An 18,113-nucleotide genomic window follows, 5' to 3' on the forward strand; every position below is an offset into this window, starting at 1 on the left:
CAACAGCAAAATACTGGCCTTATCTACTAGATGGACTGGAACAAGAGAGTTTCATGGTGTATTGTCAAGCTTAAAATAGAGGACAGTTGGGCTAGAATTGACCTTGATAAGGCATTCTCTTAGTTTCATGAAGAACATTTGATTACAAAAATTTCTGAGAATAGACTTAGTATACTCCAAAATAAGATCTTATATCTGTGTGCCACAGTTTTGGCATAAATACCCAATTATTCCCTTACAACACTGGAGTAATCCTTTATACAAAATCCTACCTACTTCCCAAGAGTGCTTACCATAAAAGGTAAGTGTCTGGATGTGCACATTCATGTTCATAAGTACAAACACAAAATGATAAAAATAATGACTTTAGAACAAAAATAATTAGGAGAAAGTAGAGCTATGAGGAAAAAGTATTTTTGAGCATCTTTCTTTAGAAAATTCTGAGCCAAAATAACTTTTTACCTTATACCAGTATTGCCACTCTGTGATTATTTTAAAGCTGGAATGGAAAGGAAGTCTGAAGATAAGAAATCCCTTAATTTCATCAATCACAACAAGAGCCAACTTAGAAGTATGGAATTCTTCCTAATAAACTGTCAACTAGCTGTCAGCAACTACCTACATTTGCTGTGGAATTTGCAGGTCTGTGGCGTTGACATTATCAATGCTATGGATGCCTCAAGGCTCTCATAAAAATACATGGCTTCAGCAATACGCATGCAGTTATCTCAGTTTAAAGGTATTTTGCTATTATTATTTTTGATGGCTATATAGGGAATGTGTTTAAAAGACATGACTATTTGGCCGGGCGCAGTGGCTCACGCCTGTGATCCTAGCACTTTGAGAGGCCGAGGCGGGCGAATCACGAGGTCAGGAGACCGAGACCATCCCGGCTAACATGGTGAAACCCCGTCTCTACTAACAATACAAAAAAAAAAAAAAAATTAGCCAGGCGTGGTGGCAAGCGCCTGTAGTCCCAGCTACTTGGGAGGCTGAGGCAGGAGAATGGCGTGAAGCCGGGAGGCGGAGCTTGCAGTGAGCCGAGATGGCGCCACTGCACTCCAGCCTGGGCGACAGAGCCAGACTCCATCTCAAAAAAAAAAAAAAAAGACATGACTATATGAAACATGGCAGCCTGGCTAGGGTGAAATTGCCTAAGGGCTTGGTTGCTCTGGGAGAAGCACCTGGGTCAGCCACCTTAGAGGATGAGAGAGATGGCAGCAGAAAGAGGAGGTAGTTGTTTATGCAAGGATTTTGGCCAGAATCTACTCAGAGGTGGAGAACTTCTCGTTAAATAATAGAAAGTTTGTAAACAACTATGTACGTTCTATTTTAGAAAAAGAAAAAAATTGGTTAAACCTAAGTAATCCTGTTTGTTTTTTTATTTGTATAGATTTCCGTTAGCACACAGATGTATCCTTTGGGACTAAAATAAAAGAATTTCAATAGTATAATTTACAGGCTAAAGCAATCTTTACCTAACAGGCAGGCCATCTCGTCTCTAAATTTGCCTTGAACTACAGAAATTTGCGTCAATTAACTACCATAAGCAACTGTTTGCATTTCTTACCATAATTATCACAGTTACTTCAGGATCTGCTTACATTAATGGTCTTTAGACAGCATGGTTGCTGCTGTTATTTCCACTGCCTATTCCCGGGACTTTATATATGCCAATAAAAGTCCCAAATTAAATTACCTACAAACAGTTTTGCCTAACTGAATACCACTGAAAGCAAACAAATTTTGCATTATCTTGTTTAAGCATAAAAAATATTTTTATTCTCTGGAAACCCAAAAAATAGTAACAAAAAATTAGAGGCTGCTATGGTATGAATGAGTATGTTCTCCCGAAATTCGTATGTTGAACTCCTAACCCCCAAGATGATGGTATTAGGAGGCTTGTTTATAAGCTGGTCAGATTATGGTATTTTGCTATAGCAGCCTGCACAGAGCAAGACAGATACTTACACACTGTTTGTGGTGAAAGAAAAGTGTTGACAGCCCTCCAGCTAGATCATCCTCATAGGCATAAGGTAACCAATCCAGACATGACACATTAGATCTAGTTATGCAAGCTCAGAACTGAAAAAGAGATTTTCTTGTGCAATGCTTAAATATCATTAAATAATATCAAAAAATAAGTTTCAACTTTACTACACTTGGACTATGCCCTTTCCTCTGCTCAGTCAATAGTTGATTTTTCTATTCCATGCTTATATACACTGATAAGCGAATTATGTTTAGAAATTGTTTTGATTGTTTATTCAGCCAAGTTATCTACCTATTTAGAAATAAACAAAGACTTACTGTGCAGCCAGACTGCTTGGAGATAAGGTCTGTCCATCATCCTCATTCCACACATGCGTTATATTATCGGAGTCACCTGAAGTAATAATTTTTATATAGGTAAACATTTAACATGTTTGCTTAAAGATTTTTTTCCTCAGTGAAAACCATCCCAGGTCAAATTAATGAGGAGAAAATGCAGAAATCTGCAGAATCATTCTCAAAAGAATTGTATAAAAGACATCTATGCTCTTTTGTTGGAAATATTTGTGATATTTATAGGAAATAGATGCCTACTGATCAAAATAATCCCGATGGTCAAGCATATGCATTTCTAACAAGTTCTTTGTCTGTGCATCAAGCCACTACATTATTTTATCCCAGGACCTGCATATGCAGATGACTGCTAAGTACTATAATGAAGATTGACTACCACGTGATTTGTTAATCAAATGAAGCCAATTTTAGTCTTATGGGTCACTGGATTTTTTTTTTTTTTTTGCCTTCAGTTGTCTAGAATGTAGCCTCAGGAAACATCTGCCATCACTAATCTATATTTTCTATCTTTCAAAAAGCAGCCACTAATCTCAATTGAATGCAGCTGTGAATGCAAATTGACTGATGTTAACAGAACTGCTCTGAGAGTTCTCAAATAATATGAGGGTGCATAGTGTGGAAGGCAGTCACTAAGTTTGGTCTAATGGAGACCACATACGAAGATCTAATTCAACACCATGAGTTACCCCCAGAAGTTAAATAGGTCCCTAATTCAGCCTGCTGCATAAGGTTGTATCATAAAAGAGTAAGTGTGCAACAGCATTCACATAAAAATTGAAAATGAAAATGCTTTAAATGGCCCCTGCATAAATAAAAACATCATAAATCCAATACTTTAATTCAGCTCCTTTAGGGAAATGATATCACTTATTTCCCTTCTCTTCAGACTCTACTCATTCCTTATAAATAATCCAGTATGTCTCAATGCTGTCATTTTTAACATTGGCCTAATCATTTTCAATGGGATATTTTATTACCAGCTTCAATAGTTCTTGTATTGTCTCTAGTTAGTGCAACCTAAAGCCTTCTAAAAAGGTACTAGCACAAAACTATGCAATCACCCATTTTTTTGCTGGTCCTGATTATTAACTTTATTTAAATTAGTATGTGTGTAAAAAGACTATCCCAGAATTAAAAATCTCCTTGTCTGTCACCTGTATCAGTCATGTTTAAGTAACGTTTGTACAGCCCCTGCTATCTGGCAGAGTGGCTGTCTCAGGTTTTTCTGTTCAGCAGAGTAGAGTTTTTCTGTGCTCTGTTCACGATGCAGCTGAATATTATTGCTCTAATAACAGTAATGCATCAGTGAGTTAAAGGGCCAAGAATGAATGGGATGCCCAGAATAAACAAACCTAATTAACAATAGTAATACCTATTATGTATTGGCATCTATATATAGAATAACTATAGATTCAAAAACCTGTTGAGATTTATGCCTTTGCAATGTAAAGGTATATAAAACTCTTTTTCTAAGATCAAATTTTGCTCACTTTGAACTCCTATGTGATGCTCAGCAAGCTAATTGGTATTTGTAATACTATGTGGTTATAGAGTTTCTCTTTTTCGTCAAGCCATTAAAATAAGTAACTAATAGAAAATTAACTTTATATTATCAATGACAGACTTGACCCTGAAGTTAAATAAAGACTCTTCCCTTTGGTCACTAAGGACTATAAAGTATATTGAGAGAAATACTATACTAAACAGTCCTTAATGAAATAGAAAATGTTACAGACCCTTAAAAACTGAGATTTTACTTCTTTTTTATTTGTAAGATTAGGCATACTTAAAATTGTATTCACAGGCCGGGCACAGTGGCTCATGCCTGTAATCCCAGCATTTTGGGAGGTCGAGGTGGGCACATCACGAGGTCAGGAGATCGAGATCATCCTGGCTAACACGGTGACACCCCGTCTCTACTAAAAATATAAAAAATTAGCCGGGCGTGGTAGCAGGTGCCTGTAGTCCCAGGTACTTGGGAGGCTGAAGCAGGAGAATGGCGTGAACCCGGGAGGTGGAGCTTGCAGTGAGCCGAGATCATGCCACTGCACTCCAACCTGGGCGACGGAGTGAGACTCCGTCTCAAAAAATAAAAATAAAAATAAAAAAATAAATATATGTACTGGGATAGACACAGCTAAAAAAATTGTATTCACAGACACAGAAATATGGTGCATAGATAACCTCTTTTTATCAGTAAGGATTTCTATCCTAAATTACATCCTAAAAATGTAATTTTATATAATGTACTATTTTGCAAAAGAGCAAATTCCAGTGAGTCACAAACATAATCTCTGCTCCCAAAACTCAGTATTTATAAATGGACCTACTATGGAGTGTATTAACTGTGTAGCAAGGATCCTAGCTGGAGCCGAGCTGAGAATTAGGTATCTTGAGATAGGAAGTTAGGAGGCAACTTTCTTCCCAGGTGTTTATTAGCAGCTCTCTATTTTCACGGTTGCTAAGGAGGCTCCTGAAGAAATCTTGAAGTGTGCTCATACGTCAGGGTGGATCAGAGATAAACATGGTGTGAGGAAAGTGGGTAGAAATCAGAGTGTGGAGAGGAATGGGGGAAGGCAGTGGAAAAAATGTAGCATATGGCTTCCCACAGAATAAGTGTGGATGGGGAGCCAAGCTCCATCAGTGACTAAAAGTGTGGGCTCTTCTGAGGTTAAGCAGGTACTTGCATGTCCCAGTGAGATACCTCAGAAGCAAGTATGTCCCAGAAGGTAAATGTTTAAGTGAGGTTGTTCATAAAAGAGCTCCTGGGGCCTAGATTTGGAGATACACAGATCCAAGTTCTAATCTCAGTTTGGCCACTTACTGGATGAGTAACACAGGCCAAGCACCCAGCCTCCTTAAGCTTCTGTTTCTTTGTCTATAAAATGGGATAATAACTGTATCTCACAGAGTTATTTAGATGATAAAATGAATTTCAGATACTAAAGTACTGAGCATTGATACAATAAATATTACCTATTGTGTTCTTTACTTGAAAGAGTGGTATGAAGCCTACAAACCTATCTTAACCATTATATTAGAGAGAATCCAAGCAACTCTGCTATGAGATACCACCCCACTCCAGCATAACAGAGTAAAAAACCAAGGGAGAAAGGATGTTCATTTTCAAAAATACTGCTGAACACTGTGAAGACTAAGAATGAGGTGGCCTGGGTTACGGGGCAGGTATCTGTACTTGGACCAGAGACCCCAGTGCTGTTGAACTGTAGTCACTAGTTCTGCCTTCAATGACAAGTTTAAGTTCCCTGAAAGTTTCCTAGAAATACTTAGGAGGGTTTTCAAAGTCTACAAAATTTCTGCTCAAACAGGTAGGGTTTTGAAGTTAGTAACTTTTAGGAATTGACATTAATACATCTGCATTGATATTCTTGGCTTGATGAACTCACAGTGCAGGAAATTTAAAAAGAAACAAAAGGTAAGTGTATCAAATTTTATGAATAAAAATACATTTCCTTGGTGTATGTCCTTGTCTTCTTGACCATCCAATGACGTGTTTTAAGACTTGCCAAAAGCCAGACGTGGTGGCTCATGCCTGTAATCCCAGCACTTTGGGAGGCTGAGGTGGGTGGATCACGAGGTCAGGAGTTCAAGACCAGCCTGTTCAAGATGGTGAAACCCCATCTCTACTAAAAATACAAAAAAGTAGCCGGGCGTGGTAGGCGCCTGTAATCCCAGCTACTCGGGAGGCTGAGGCAGAGAATTGCTTGAACCTGGGAAGCGGAGGTTACGGTGAGCCGAGATCGCGCCACTGCACTCCAGCCTAGGCAATAGAGCGAGACTCCATCTCAAAAAAAAAAAAAAAAAAAAAGACTTGCCAAAATGATTAGCACAGTCATAGACATAAGACATGGTCACGGTTAAATATTGAAAACTGAATTACATTTTTCACCAGGAAATGGGTTCTGCTCCCTGCTTAATAAGAAATCCTGCTTACTTCTCCAGCTTTTGAAGCACAGGTGAGCTTTGTACTTAAAATTTTTAAAAATGTAACTTTATTACTTTACTTTATATTAATTATAAAGGATGAGTCTGAAGATAAAAAGGAAAGGGTAATAAGGAGAACCATTAAGTTCTTAAGCCTTTAAAATGCAAATATGAAAAGAAAACAGAGGAAATAATTATGTTTGTTAGCACATTGTCTGGTTTTCTAGCCTAAACTTTTTTTTTAAGAGTAATCCTGTTTTTCTAATGGACGTCAAGACCATCAAATTTAATAACAGTCAATCCTGCAAGCTAACCATCAATTCTGAAACTGTAGATATAAAAAATGCTCTAGACTAACAGAAAATGGCATCCAAGAGTATTGTTGGACCCTCCAGTGAGAATTCTTCAAAGCCTTCACAGGCATGCTTTCTTTTTATATGAAAATTGATATTTCAATACTATGTAATGAACAATCAGATTTTGACCTGATGATCTCAGGATGCTTATTTTGTAATCTAAAGGTAAAAGTTGAAATATGTAAAAGCTGACAAACTCAGCTGAGAAAGCATAATTCTAAATTTATTCACCAGAGATAAATTGTTAACCAAACTTGGCAAGTAGGGATTTATTCCTTACATCTCCAAACCTTTGTCTGTATGTGTCTGTGTGTATGTAGCTGTATGTCTCCATGTGAGTGTAGACAGTACCATTCTAGATATGCCAAAGGGACATTTTGTGACTCACTACCAACATGTTATACCTTGTCTTACTGGAAAATCAAAATTTGAAAATGAATTTTAAAATACTGCAATTCACTTTAGGCATTTGTTTCAAATAATAAGGTAGAAATCGATTTGTTGAGGCATAGTCCCTGATTTTTTTTTTCTATACCAAGTATAAACATAGTTTTACAAGCTAACAGAGATCATTTTCACCTAACTAAAAACCCTAGAAAGCCACAGTTCCCTCTTCTTGGCCATTTCTCCCTTTCTCCACACTTTGATTAACTCGAGATCCAGATTTATTCATAGCATATGTCCCCACCTAAGAATAATATCATCTCTACATGATTACTTTCATTGCACTCTGCTTTATATTTCCAATGGGCTTTGTGACACTGAATTTAACACAGTAAGATGGAAATATAATACCTTGAGCTGGGGAGTCCAGAGTGTACAGCAGATGTTTAACAGACTTCTGGAGGGTTCTGAAACCTTCGTTAGTTGCAAAACGTGGATAAACCTTCTGCACAACCAGCAGCACACTAAGGAGTCAAAAAGCAATTAAACCAGATTCTGTTTCAAGGTTTGCAGACAGAAACAAAAGATTATTCAAGGAGAAAATGGCTACAGTATAAATTATTCTTATAATATAAAAGACAAGATGCTACTTTTTGTAATTTAATTACTTGTTTGTCTGTTCATGCACAAAATCTCAACAAAATATTCTTAACCAGACAGAGCAGTTTATGTTTCTAGGTTTCTAAAACATCAGGAATCACCAGCCTTAAAGTAATGGAGCAAGGTTCCCATCAATTTTTTTCTAAGACTTAGAAATAAGTAGTTAGGAAAAGCAACTTTCAATTAAAGAATACATCTTTTTTTAGCTAAAAAGAAAAATTAAATATTAGAAAGTATTTTCATTAAAAACCAAACCCAAATAAAGGATCTAGTTTCAGGAATAATTATTATTTAAGCATTTATAATATTTATCTTTTGCTAAACAGATAGTAATGTTTTTGAAGAAGAAAATGGAGCTTGCCCTAATTAAAGACTATATTCTATCTTCTAAGTGGTCTATAGGCACTATTCCAGAGGTAGTTCAAAATTAATATCCATACTCTGTTTCTATAGCTTTTATGTTACCGATAAGATGGGCAGTCTACACTGGGGATAGAAAATCAGAAAATTCAGTTATGCTTGAGTTCATCCTGTATTTGGAAAACGCAATTAGTTTCTCAAAACATGTCTTTTAGTTCCTTTATAGCCATTAGTGCATTTTAAAGAAATATTGTTATTGCACATGCATTTCTACATTATATAAGTACTGTGATTTGTATCAACAGTTGAGTCAATGCTTTAGTTAAGTAGTAGGCTTTTGTTAAAAATTTGACATTGTGAAGTTAAATGTAGTACAAATTAGCTAATAGTAATTTTTCCCTATCTAGTTTCTTAGTAAACTCAATGTGTATTCCAGCAATAGATAGTATTTGTGTACACTTTCATGGCATTCTATAATGTTTTTGGAATTTTTGAAATTTAGATTAAGATGATGTTAATTTTAGTCCCCTAGATATGAATGATAGCTGTTTAGAGAACTAAATTTTAGGTGCCATCTGGGTAGTTCCTAGTATAAAATAAGGATATACATGTGGATATGTGTGTATGTTTATAAACATACATAAAAATATATGCATATATATTTTCTAACATTTAGTTTTCTAATAATTCTATAAAATCTATTTATTTGTCCAGTTTTGCAGATGGGAAAACTAAAGTTGAAAAAAGTTAAGTAACTAAATAACACAAGGTTATTTAGTTAATAATAAGTACAGCTGGGGTCTCTCTATTTCAAAGTTTATGTTCTATCCACTCTATATGTTGCCTCTAGCACAAAAGCTTTGCTTCAACATGGTGGGGAGGAGGAGGGCAGAACATTTCTGCACAGAGCCCACAGGCATTTTTAATTTGTCACCCAGCTGTGTTCCGAACAGTTGGCCACAGAGGCATGGCTGTATTTTTCTCATCTCTGCTCTGTATACATGACTGGTGACACCTCAGGCATTTTTATGTTTGCCCCAAGAATCTCCTGGTTCTCAGGTGTTGGGTTACTTCCAAACCCTAGCAACCATGGAGATCAGTTAGACTGTCTCAGGGCGTAAATCTTGGTCGGCCTTCAAGCCTGACCCTCTGCCTAACTCACCTGACCTATTGTCCCAAAGTAACATCTTCAAAGACTGAACATTTGACAATCTCATTAAATCTTTCAGCATTATTATCATTAACATTATTAATTAAATGTCAGTAGACTTCATTCATCTTTATCTAACAAAATGTAACTGAATAAATAATGACACCTGGGCTTCCATCTTCTCTGAAATCCTTTACACCATTGATACTTGATATTTATTTTACTTCATAGATTATTTTTCTTCTCTTCATCATATAAAAATGGAAATTATCAAAACAAAACATCATCAAAACAAAACATCATCAAAAACAGGTTGCTCTCTGAGTAAAGGTAATTTTTAAAAAGAGTTTTTGTGATTTATGTCTCAGCATAGCCTTCATCTCAGTAAGGCAACAATCCTGTGTGTCCTTTCATATGCTTTTCTCAACTTTTGAGATTGCTGATTTCTGCTTATTACTGTCTTAACTTTAACATTATATAATCTGATTTCGGTGGTTGGTTTATATACAACATACAATGTAAAAAAATGCTGGAGAAATAACAAAAATTCCTGTGGGGTCCATTTGTCTCTATTACTTGTTCAACAAAGATTAAGATAAACCAATGAGACCATAATGTTGTGATAAAATACAGTCATTTGTGAGAAAATTATGGCTTTTAGTGACACTGTCAGCTTTATCATAATAATAAACAGCTGACTTTAAAAAGTCCAAGCCATGTATTTAATTTAGAATTTTCTAGTAGTCACATTAAAAAAGTAAAGGCCGGGCGCAGTGGCTCATGCCTGTATTCCCAGCACTTTGGGAGGCCAAGGCGGATGGATCATGAGGTCAGGAGATCGAGACCATCCTGGCTAACACAGTGAGACACCGTCTCTACTAAAAATACAAAAAATTAGCCAGGCGTGGTGGCGGGCGCCTGTAGTCCCAGCTACTTGGGAGGCTGAGGTAGGAGAATGGCATGAACCCAGAAGGTGGAGCTTGCAGTGAGCCCAGATCCCGCCACTGCACTCCAGCCTGGGCAACAGAGCAAGACTCCTTCTCACAAAAAATAAATAAATAAATAAATAAATAAGTAAAAAGAAACAGATGAAATTAATTTTAATAATATATTTTAACTCCATACATCCAAAATATTAGCATTTCAATATTTAATAAATATAAAAATTACTAATGAAATAATTTAGGTCTTTTACTGTACTAGGTCTCCAAACTTATGGGGCATCTCAGTGCAGATGCTAAATTTTAATTGAAAAGTCTTCACCTGTATTTAGATTTCATTAAATTTACGGATGAAAAAGTAGATTCACATACCTAAGCCATTGTTAACATACTAAAAAGTATTACAATAACTGAACCAAGTATCAGTTTTTAAAATTTAAATTAATCAAGTTAGTAACGTTACACATTCAGTTCCTTAGGCACACTAGCACATTTCAAGTGCTCAAAAACCACATTAACTAGGGGCTATCATGTTAGAAAGATCAAGTATTACTGGACCACTAAAAAAAGAGTTGTTCTGACTAAATAAAAGTCAGATGCTATTCTATCAAAAAGGCAAACTATACAATGGTAGAAAATATTTGGAAACCATTTATCTGATAAACAGTTAATTTCCAAAATATAAAGAAAACATATAAATAGCCAATAGACATATGAAAAAATGTTCAATCATCAGAGAAATGCAAATCAAAATCTTAATATCATTGCACAGCTGTCAGGATGCATATTATTAAATAAAAAAAAGACAAAAAGTATTGGCAAAGATATGAAGAAATCCAAACCTTCCATGCTATTGGTGAGAATACAAAATGTTGGCTGGGCGCGGTGGCTCACACCTGTAATCCCAGCACTTTGGGAGGCCAAGGTGGACGGATCACCTGAGGTCAGGAGTTCAAGACCAGCCTGGCCAACATGGTGAAACCCCGTCTCTACCAAAAATACGAAAAAAATTAGCTGGGTGTGGTGGTGCATGCCTGTAATCCCAGCTACTTGGGAGGCTGAAGCAGGAGAATTGCTTGAATCCAAGAGGTGGAGGTTGCAGTGAGCTGAGATCATACCACTGCACTCCAGACTGGGCCACAGAGGGAGACTCCGTCTCAAAAAACAAACAAAAAAACAAAAAAACAAAATGTTATGTGTCCCAAACCTTTTTTTATTTCTTCTACAAAAAAAAGGGGGGGTGTGAATATATGTGCAGAATGTGCAGGTTTGTTACATACATATATGTGTACCATGATGGTTTGCTGCACCTACTAAGCCGTGCAACCTGCAGGCCAAATCCAGCCCTAAGGCCTGTTTATGTAAATAAAAGTATATTAAATACAAAAAATTTGTTAAGCTAGTAGATTTCAAGTGTTCTCACCACAAAAAAATAAGTATATGAAGGAAATGTATATGTTAAATAGCTTGATTTAGCCATTCCACAATGTAGATATATATTACAACATGTGGTATGCCATAAATATATACAATTTTTGTCAGTTAAAAATAAATAAAAAGAAATACTGCTGAATTAAAGAAAATTGAAGATAAAAAATTTACCAAAAGAATACAAAATAGGCCAGGTGCTGTGGCTCACGCCTGTAATCCCAGCACTTTGGGAGGCTGAGGCAGGCAGATCACAAGGTCAGGAGTTTGAGACCAGCCTGGCCAATATGGTGAAACCCCGTCTCTACCAAAAATACAAAAATTAACCGGGCATGGTGGCACGTGCCTGTAGTCCCAGCTACTCGGGAGGCTAAGGCAGAAGAATCGCTTGAACCCAGGAGGCAGAGGTTGCAGTGAGCCAAGATCGTGCCACTGCACTCCAGCCTGGGCGACAGAGCGAGACTCCATCTCAAAAAAAAAAAAAAAAAGGAATACAGTGGAGTTGCTATGGAGAACAGTATGGAGGTTCCTTAAAAATTACAAATAGACTATCATATATGATCCAGCAATCTCACATCTGGATTCTTATCCAAAAGAATTGAAATTAGAATAATGAAGAGATAGTAGTATTGCTGTGTTCATTGCAGCACTATTCACAATAGTCAAAATGTGGAGATAACCTAAATGTCCATCAACAAATAAATGAATAAGAAAACGTGCTATATAAACACAATGAATACTATTCAGACTTAAAAAAGAATGCATTTTGAAATATGCAACAACATGGATGAACCCTGAAGACATGATGTGAAATGATAATGCATAACCACTTAAGCCAGTCACACAAAGCAAAATACTACAAAATTTCTTGTATGGGAAGTATCTAAAATAGTTAAATTCCTAGAATCAAAGAGTCAAGTGATGGTTTCTAGGGTCTGATTAGAAAGGGAAATGGGAGTTGGTAATGAACAGGCATGGAGTTTCAGTTAAGCAAGATGAATAAGCTCTAGAGATCTGCTGTACAGCATTGTACCTATAGCTTACAATTTAAAAATGTGTTAAAAGGGCAGAGCTCATGTTAAGTGTTCTTATGAATATAAAATAATTTTTAAGTCAAATGTCATTTGCTTCATAATAATTTGAAACTATTTCTCTTTAGGTTTTATGTTTGTTTGGGATAGAATCTCATTCTGTCACCCAGGCCAGAGAGCACTGACATTATCATGGCTCACTGCAACCTCAAACTCCCAAGCTCAAGCGATCCTCCCACCTCAGCCTCCCAAGTAGCTGGGACCACAGGTATGCACTACCATGCCCAGCTACTTTTTTATTTTATTTTATTTTTTTGTAGAGATAGTATCCCACTATGTTGCCCAGGCTAGTCTTGAACTCCTGGACTCAAGCAATTTTCTCATGTCCACCTCCCAAATTGTTGGGATTACAGGCATAAGCCACTGCACTCAGCCTCTTGTAAGTTTTATTTTATTTTTAATTGACACATAATTGTTCATATTTATAGAGTACAGTGTGATAATTTGGTACATGTATACAATGTGTAAAGCTCAAATTAGTATAATTAATGTATCCATTGCCTCAAACGTTTATTATTTGTTTATCATGAGGACATCTGAAATCTTCTTTTACCGTTATTTTGAAATATACAATGGATTACTATTAACTGCAATCACCCTACTGTGCAATAGAACAGTAAAATTTATTCCTCCTATCTAATTGTAACTTTCTACCCCTTGATCAACCTTCCCTCATCCTCCCCTTTCACCCAACCTCTGGTAATCATTATTCTACATTCTACTATGAGATCAACTTTTTTAGGATCCACATAAAAATGAGATTATGTAGTATTTGTCTTTCTGTGCATGGCTGTTTTAATTTGTTGAGGAACCTCCATATTATTTTCCACAATGGCCATTCTACTTTACATTCCCACCAAGAGTGTGCAAGAGTTTCCCTTTCTCTGTATCCCTGCCAGCATCTGTTATTGTTTTTGTCTTTTTGGTAATAGCCATTCTAACTGCAGTTAGATGATATCTCATTATAGTTTTGATTTTCATTTCCCTGATGATGAGTGATGTTGAGCATTTTAAAAATACACGTGTTGGCCATTTATATGTGTTATTTTGAGAAATATCTATTCAGATCTTTTGTCCATTTTAAATTGCATTATTTGTTTTTTTGCTACTAAGGTGCTTGAGTTGAAGCCATTTATTAATAAGCTATTTTCATTATTATGCAGACTCTTTTACATATATAATCATTACTTGACAACATACTCTACTGCATAGTGCCAAAATATGCAATAATTTTATTTTAAAATTTAAAGGGAATTAAAATAGCTGCAGAACTTGGATCAGAGGTTGTTGTTAAAATAGCCACAGCACAATGTTTTTGCCAGTGTAATTTGCTCCGCCAAAATAATGCCTAGAGTATTTTTAGATCTTCTGTCTTTTAGTAAATATTATTTTGTGGAATTTTTGTTGTTGTTGTTGTTGTTGTTGATTTTTTAATCAAATTTCATTGAGGTATAATTTAAATACAATAAGATGCACCTATATTAGGTGTACAATTAAATGAGTTTTTTTTAAGTTGTAAAGTGATCATTTTAATTGTATAAACTTACGGGGTACAAAGTGAAGTTATAAGTTTTGACAAATACACATACATGTAACCACCATGCCAATTAAGATACAAACATTTCAATCACCCCAGAAAATTTTTCTCATGCAATTGCTCCTGAATCCACTGATCTGATTTCTAACATTATAGATTAATTGTGTCAATTCTAGAACCTTCTATAAATAGGATGATAACGCTATCTACATACACAGTATATATTTTTTGTTTTGATGTTTTTGCCAGCATAATATTAATGAGACTTATTTACCTTGTATGACTCAATAATCTGCTTATTTTTATTGTTGTGTTGTATTTTAATATATGAATAAACCACAATTTGTTTTGCCATTTTTTTATAGAGATTTGATTACCTGGCTCCACTTTTAGCTATTATCAAGAAATAAACATCAGCATACAAGTCTTCATATAGGTGTATATTTTCATTTTCTTGGATAAATACCCAAGAGTAGAATGCAGCCTCATACGGATCTACTGTTTTACTTCATTAGAAGCTGTCACACTATTTTCCAAATGACTGTGTTGTTTCCCATGCTAACTTGTAATATATGACCGCTTCAGTTGCTCTATGTTCTTGCTAACACTTGGAATTATCCATCTTTTAACATTTAACCCATTCCAGTGAGTGTGTAGTGATATCTTATTTGGGGTCTGAATATTATTGACTCTTTTCACTGCTACACTATACAAGTCAAATAATTCCCCTTCTCCTTTTACAGATTCACCTGTTTGCTTCCTAAGACAGAAAATAAATAGGAGGAAAAGGATCAGAGTCAAAATTCTGAGTGAGTGAAAATTTCCCTAAGAGATAAAATGAGGGTTAACATAGAGAATCAAACTTCCTAATATCTTGCTTCTTCTGTATTCCAGTTATGGTGTGTTACCATGGAAAGAGTATAGGACTGGGATTCAAATTCTTTAAGTTTAGGTCCTGGCTTTGCCATGTACTAACTGTAGAACCTTGGGGAAGCCATTTGACCTCCATAAGGATTTGTCTCCTCTTCTATAAAATGGGAATCCATTGTCTCCAGCTCAAAGCACTATTCTGAGAATCAAATGAGATTGTTTTATCAATACAAGGGCTTATTATAAGGTCTTTGAATAGATATAAGCTCTTAAAAGCATTCCAAAAGTAAAAAGCAATCTCTTCTGATGCTCTAGACATATAAAATAGACTACATCATGCTATTAGTGACATATAAGAGAGGCAGCCTGGGTTCTGGAGTTAGAAAATCTAGTTGCAAACCCTTCTAGATGCAGGATCTGCAAATACTTAATTTTTAGGACTGTTAATCTAATTTATAAAATAAATACTGTTTGTTGTAAGATTCAATGTGATCATGTGTACAAACGACTTGGTAACACATCTAGCATGTAATAGGCACTTAATAATCGAACATCATTGATGCAGTAGTTGGATTTTTAAGGCTCATTTTCAAATTAGCTATACAGGGCAATCAAAACCTAAGTACTGTCCATTAAACTCTAAATACTGGCCGTGCCCAGATCTCTTTTACGAATAAAGTAACCTTTAAAGGTGTTTCTCCTGCAAAGGTTTTAAAATCTTTATAACATATATACCAAGGCTAACTGATATGCAGGCTTGGAAAGGTCATTTCTAAGCTGACTACACATGAGGGAGGCCAACCTCTTTGAGGTGGCTTGGAACAAAACTCTTACCAATATGGTTGTTTTATGTTGGATGGTACCAAACAAAACTCACTGAGATATTTTATTCCTGGATAGTTTAAATGCTAGTTGCATAGAGCTCAGGTTGTCCCTGAATGAACTGGAGTCAGTGCTGCAATATACTGTTGGTCCTGCTGTACACCTCATTCTTAGAAGCTCTGCGATACCCAGTAACAATACAACAGTTAGGATCAGTTCCTCGTGGATGCTTCCATAACCTTGATGACCACAGTGTATGTTTCTTCTTTGCTTAACTAATACACTCACCTTCACTGCTAAAATCTGCAATAAGAGGCTGAAGGATTATTTGCTCTGTGTTTAAATAACCCAGATAACAGTAATCATCACAGGTAACATTTTTTTAAACACTTCTTTGTGAACACTAATATTACATTTAATTCTTACATTTTCTTACCTGTTTGCCTTTCGAAGAACATCAAATAGATTGCTTAGTGATGTGTCATTCTGAAACACATTTGGAAAACTAGACAGAAGCTGCCACACAGCTTTCTGCTCTTGCACTTGTGAGAAGAAAGACAGCATTCTGACTATTTCCTGAAACACTATCTTCTGATTGTTGGGGTCACTGGATAGCTTAAAATATAAAACCACAAACAGAGCAAAATGAGACTTTAACATTTGTAATCACATGGTTTGCTGTTTTTAAAAGCATCAAAAATCTAGATTTTCACATAAGCAATTCTTTTAGACCTTCACTCAGTTTGAAGCCAATCTTTTATTTGGAAAACCAGCAACTACTTCTAATGTTCTTAAACATAATTGGATCTTTTCCCTGTAACTCCAGAAATTGGCATAAAAGTTTGGTTAACAAAGCTGTATTTATATAAAATATTTCAAATTATATATTTGGAAATTAAAATTAAGTTCCTAAAATAATTTTAGCTCTGAGTAATGTTTTTTTTTCTTAGGACTTGGTTTAGGGTTGCAGATATATCTTCCCTATACTTATTACTAGGTGTTATATTGTTTGGATGGAGTACTCCTTAACTAATATATAGATTAGTAGAGATACGGATAGATTTTTATATATATATAAAATATAATATAATATAATATATATAAGAGCGTGTGTGTGTGTATATATATATATACATAATTCAGGAAAATGTTTACTATTACAATTACACATACTTAGTGCTATGTGATTTTGAACAATGTCTTTTTTACCACATGTTCTATTCTACATGACTGCCAATTTTGTTAAAAAAACAATTGTAAGTACTTTACATTGGATTGGGGATTATTATAACTGTATTTTTTTGTGTTCTCTCATTGTATGTGGGGTTGCATTAAATGTAGATTATTGCTGTCTCATTTTTACCATTGTTGTTTAAGGCTAGTGTATGTACTATTCATAATAGCAAAGACATGAAATCAACCCAAATGCCCATAAATGATAGACTGGATAAAGAAAATATGACACTATACACCATGGAATACTATGCAGTCAGAAAAAAAGGAATGAGATCATGTCCTTTGCAGGGACATGTATGGAGCTGGAAGTCATTATCCTCAGCAAACTAACACAGGAACAAAAAACCAAACACTGCATGTTCTCACTTGTAAGTGGGAGCTGAACAATGAGAACACATGGACACACAGAGGGGAACAACACACACTGGGGTCTGTCAGAGCTGGATAGGGGGAGGGAAGACATCCAGATAAATAGCTAATGCATTCTTGGCTTAATACCTAGGTGATGGGTTGATAGGTGCAGCAAACCACCATGGCATACATTTACCTATGTAAGAAACCTGCATGTCCTACACATGTATCCTGGAACTTAACATTAAATTAAATTTGTTTAAAGACTAATGTATGCAAACACTCCATAGTAGAGTGTTCTTGCTTCTAATGTATAATATTTTGGTGAGAGGGATATACTGTTTTATCAAAATCTAACTTATTGCTGAGGAATCACATTACCTAACTTCAGACTATACTGCAGGGCTACAGTAACCAAAACAGCATGGTACTGGTACAAAAACAGACACATAGACCAATGGAACAGAATAGCAAACCCAGAAATAGGGCTACACACCTACAACCATCTGATCTTCAACAGAGGTGACAAAAACAAGCCATGGGGAAAGAACTCCCTATTCAATAAATGACATTGGGATAACCAGCTAGCCATATGCAGAAGAATGAAACTGGTTACACCATACACAAAATTCAACT

General features: G+C 35.6%; 1 protein-coding gene across 4 annotated transcripts in view; it reads right to left on the bottom strand.

Annotated features, from left to right (window-relative positions):
- The window catches only part of ABCA12 (ATP binding cassette subfamily A member 12), a 207,085-nt gene that overhangs the window by 97,969 nt on the left and 91,003 nt on the right, over nucleotides 1–18,113 (bottom strand). For 3 of the 4 annotated variants that reach the window (NR_103740.2, NM_173076.3, XM_011510951.3), the window contains 3 exons: nucleotides 16,327–16,505; nucleotides 7,443–7,555; nucleotides 2,311–2,386 (listed from right to left, as the gene is read on the bottom strand). Coding sequence is in view for 3 of the 4 variants with exons in the window: in NM_173076.3 (NP_775099.2) it covers nucleotides 2,311–2,386; nucleotides 7,443–7,555; nucleotides 16,327–16,505 (368 nt within the window). In the remaining variant the exon portion in view is untranslated. Of the gene's footprint in view, nucleotides 1–2,310; nucleotides 2,577–7,442; nucleotides 7,556–16,326; nucleotides 16,506–18,113 lie in introns of those variants that run through there. The other variant, NM_015657.4, reaches the window with a different exon arrangement.

This window comes from Homo sapiens, chromosome 2, assembly GCF_000001405.40.
Source record: "Homo sapiens chromosome 2, GRCh38.p14 Primary Assembly".
In the NCBI taxonomy this organism is placed as follows: Eukaryota; Metazoa; Chordata; class Mammalia; order Primates; family Hominidae; genus Homo; species Homo sapiens.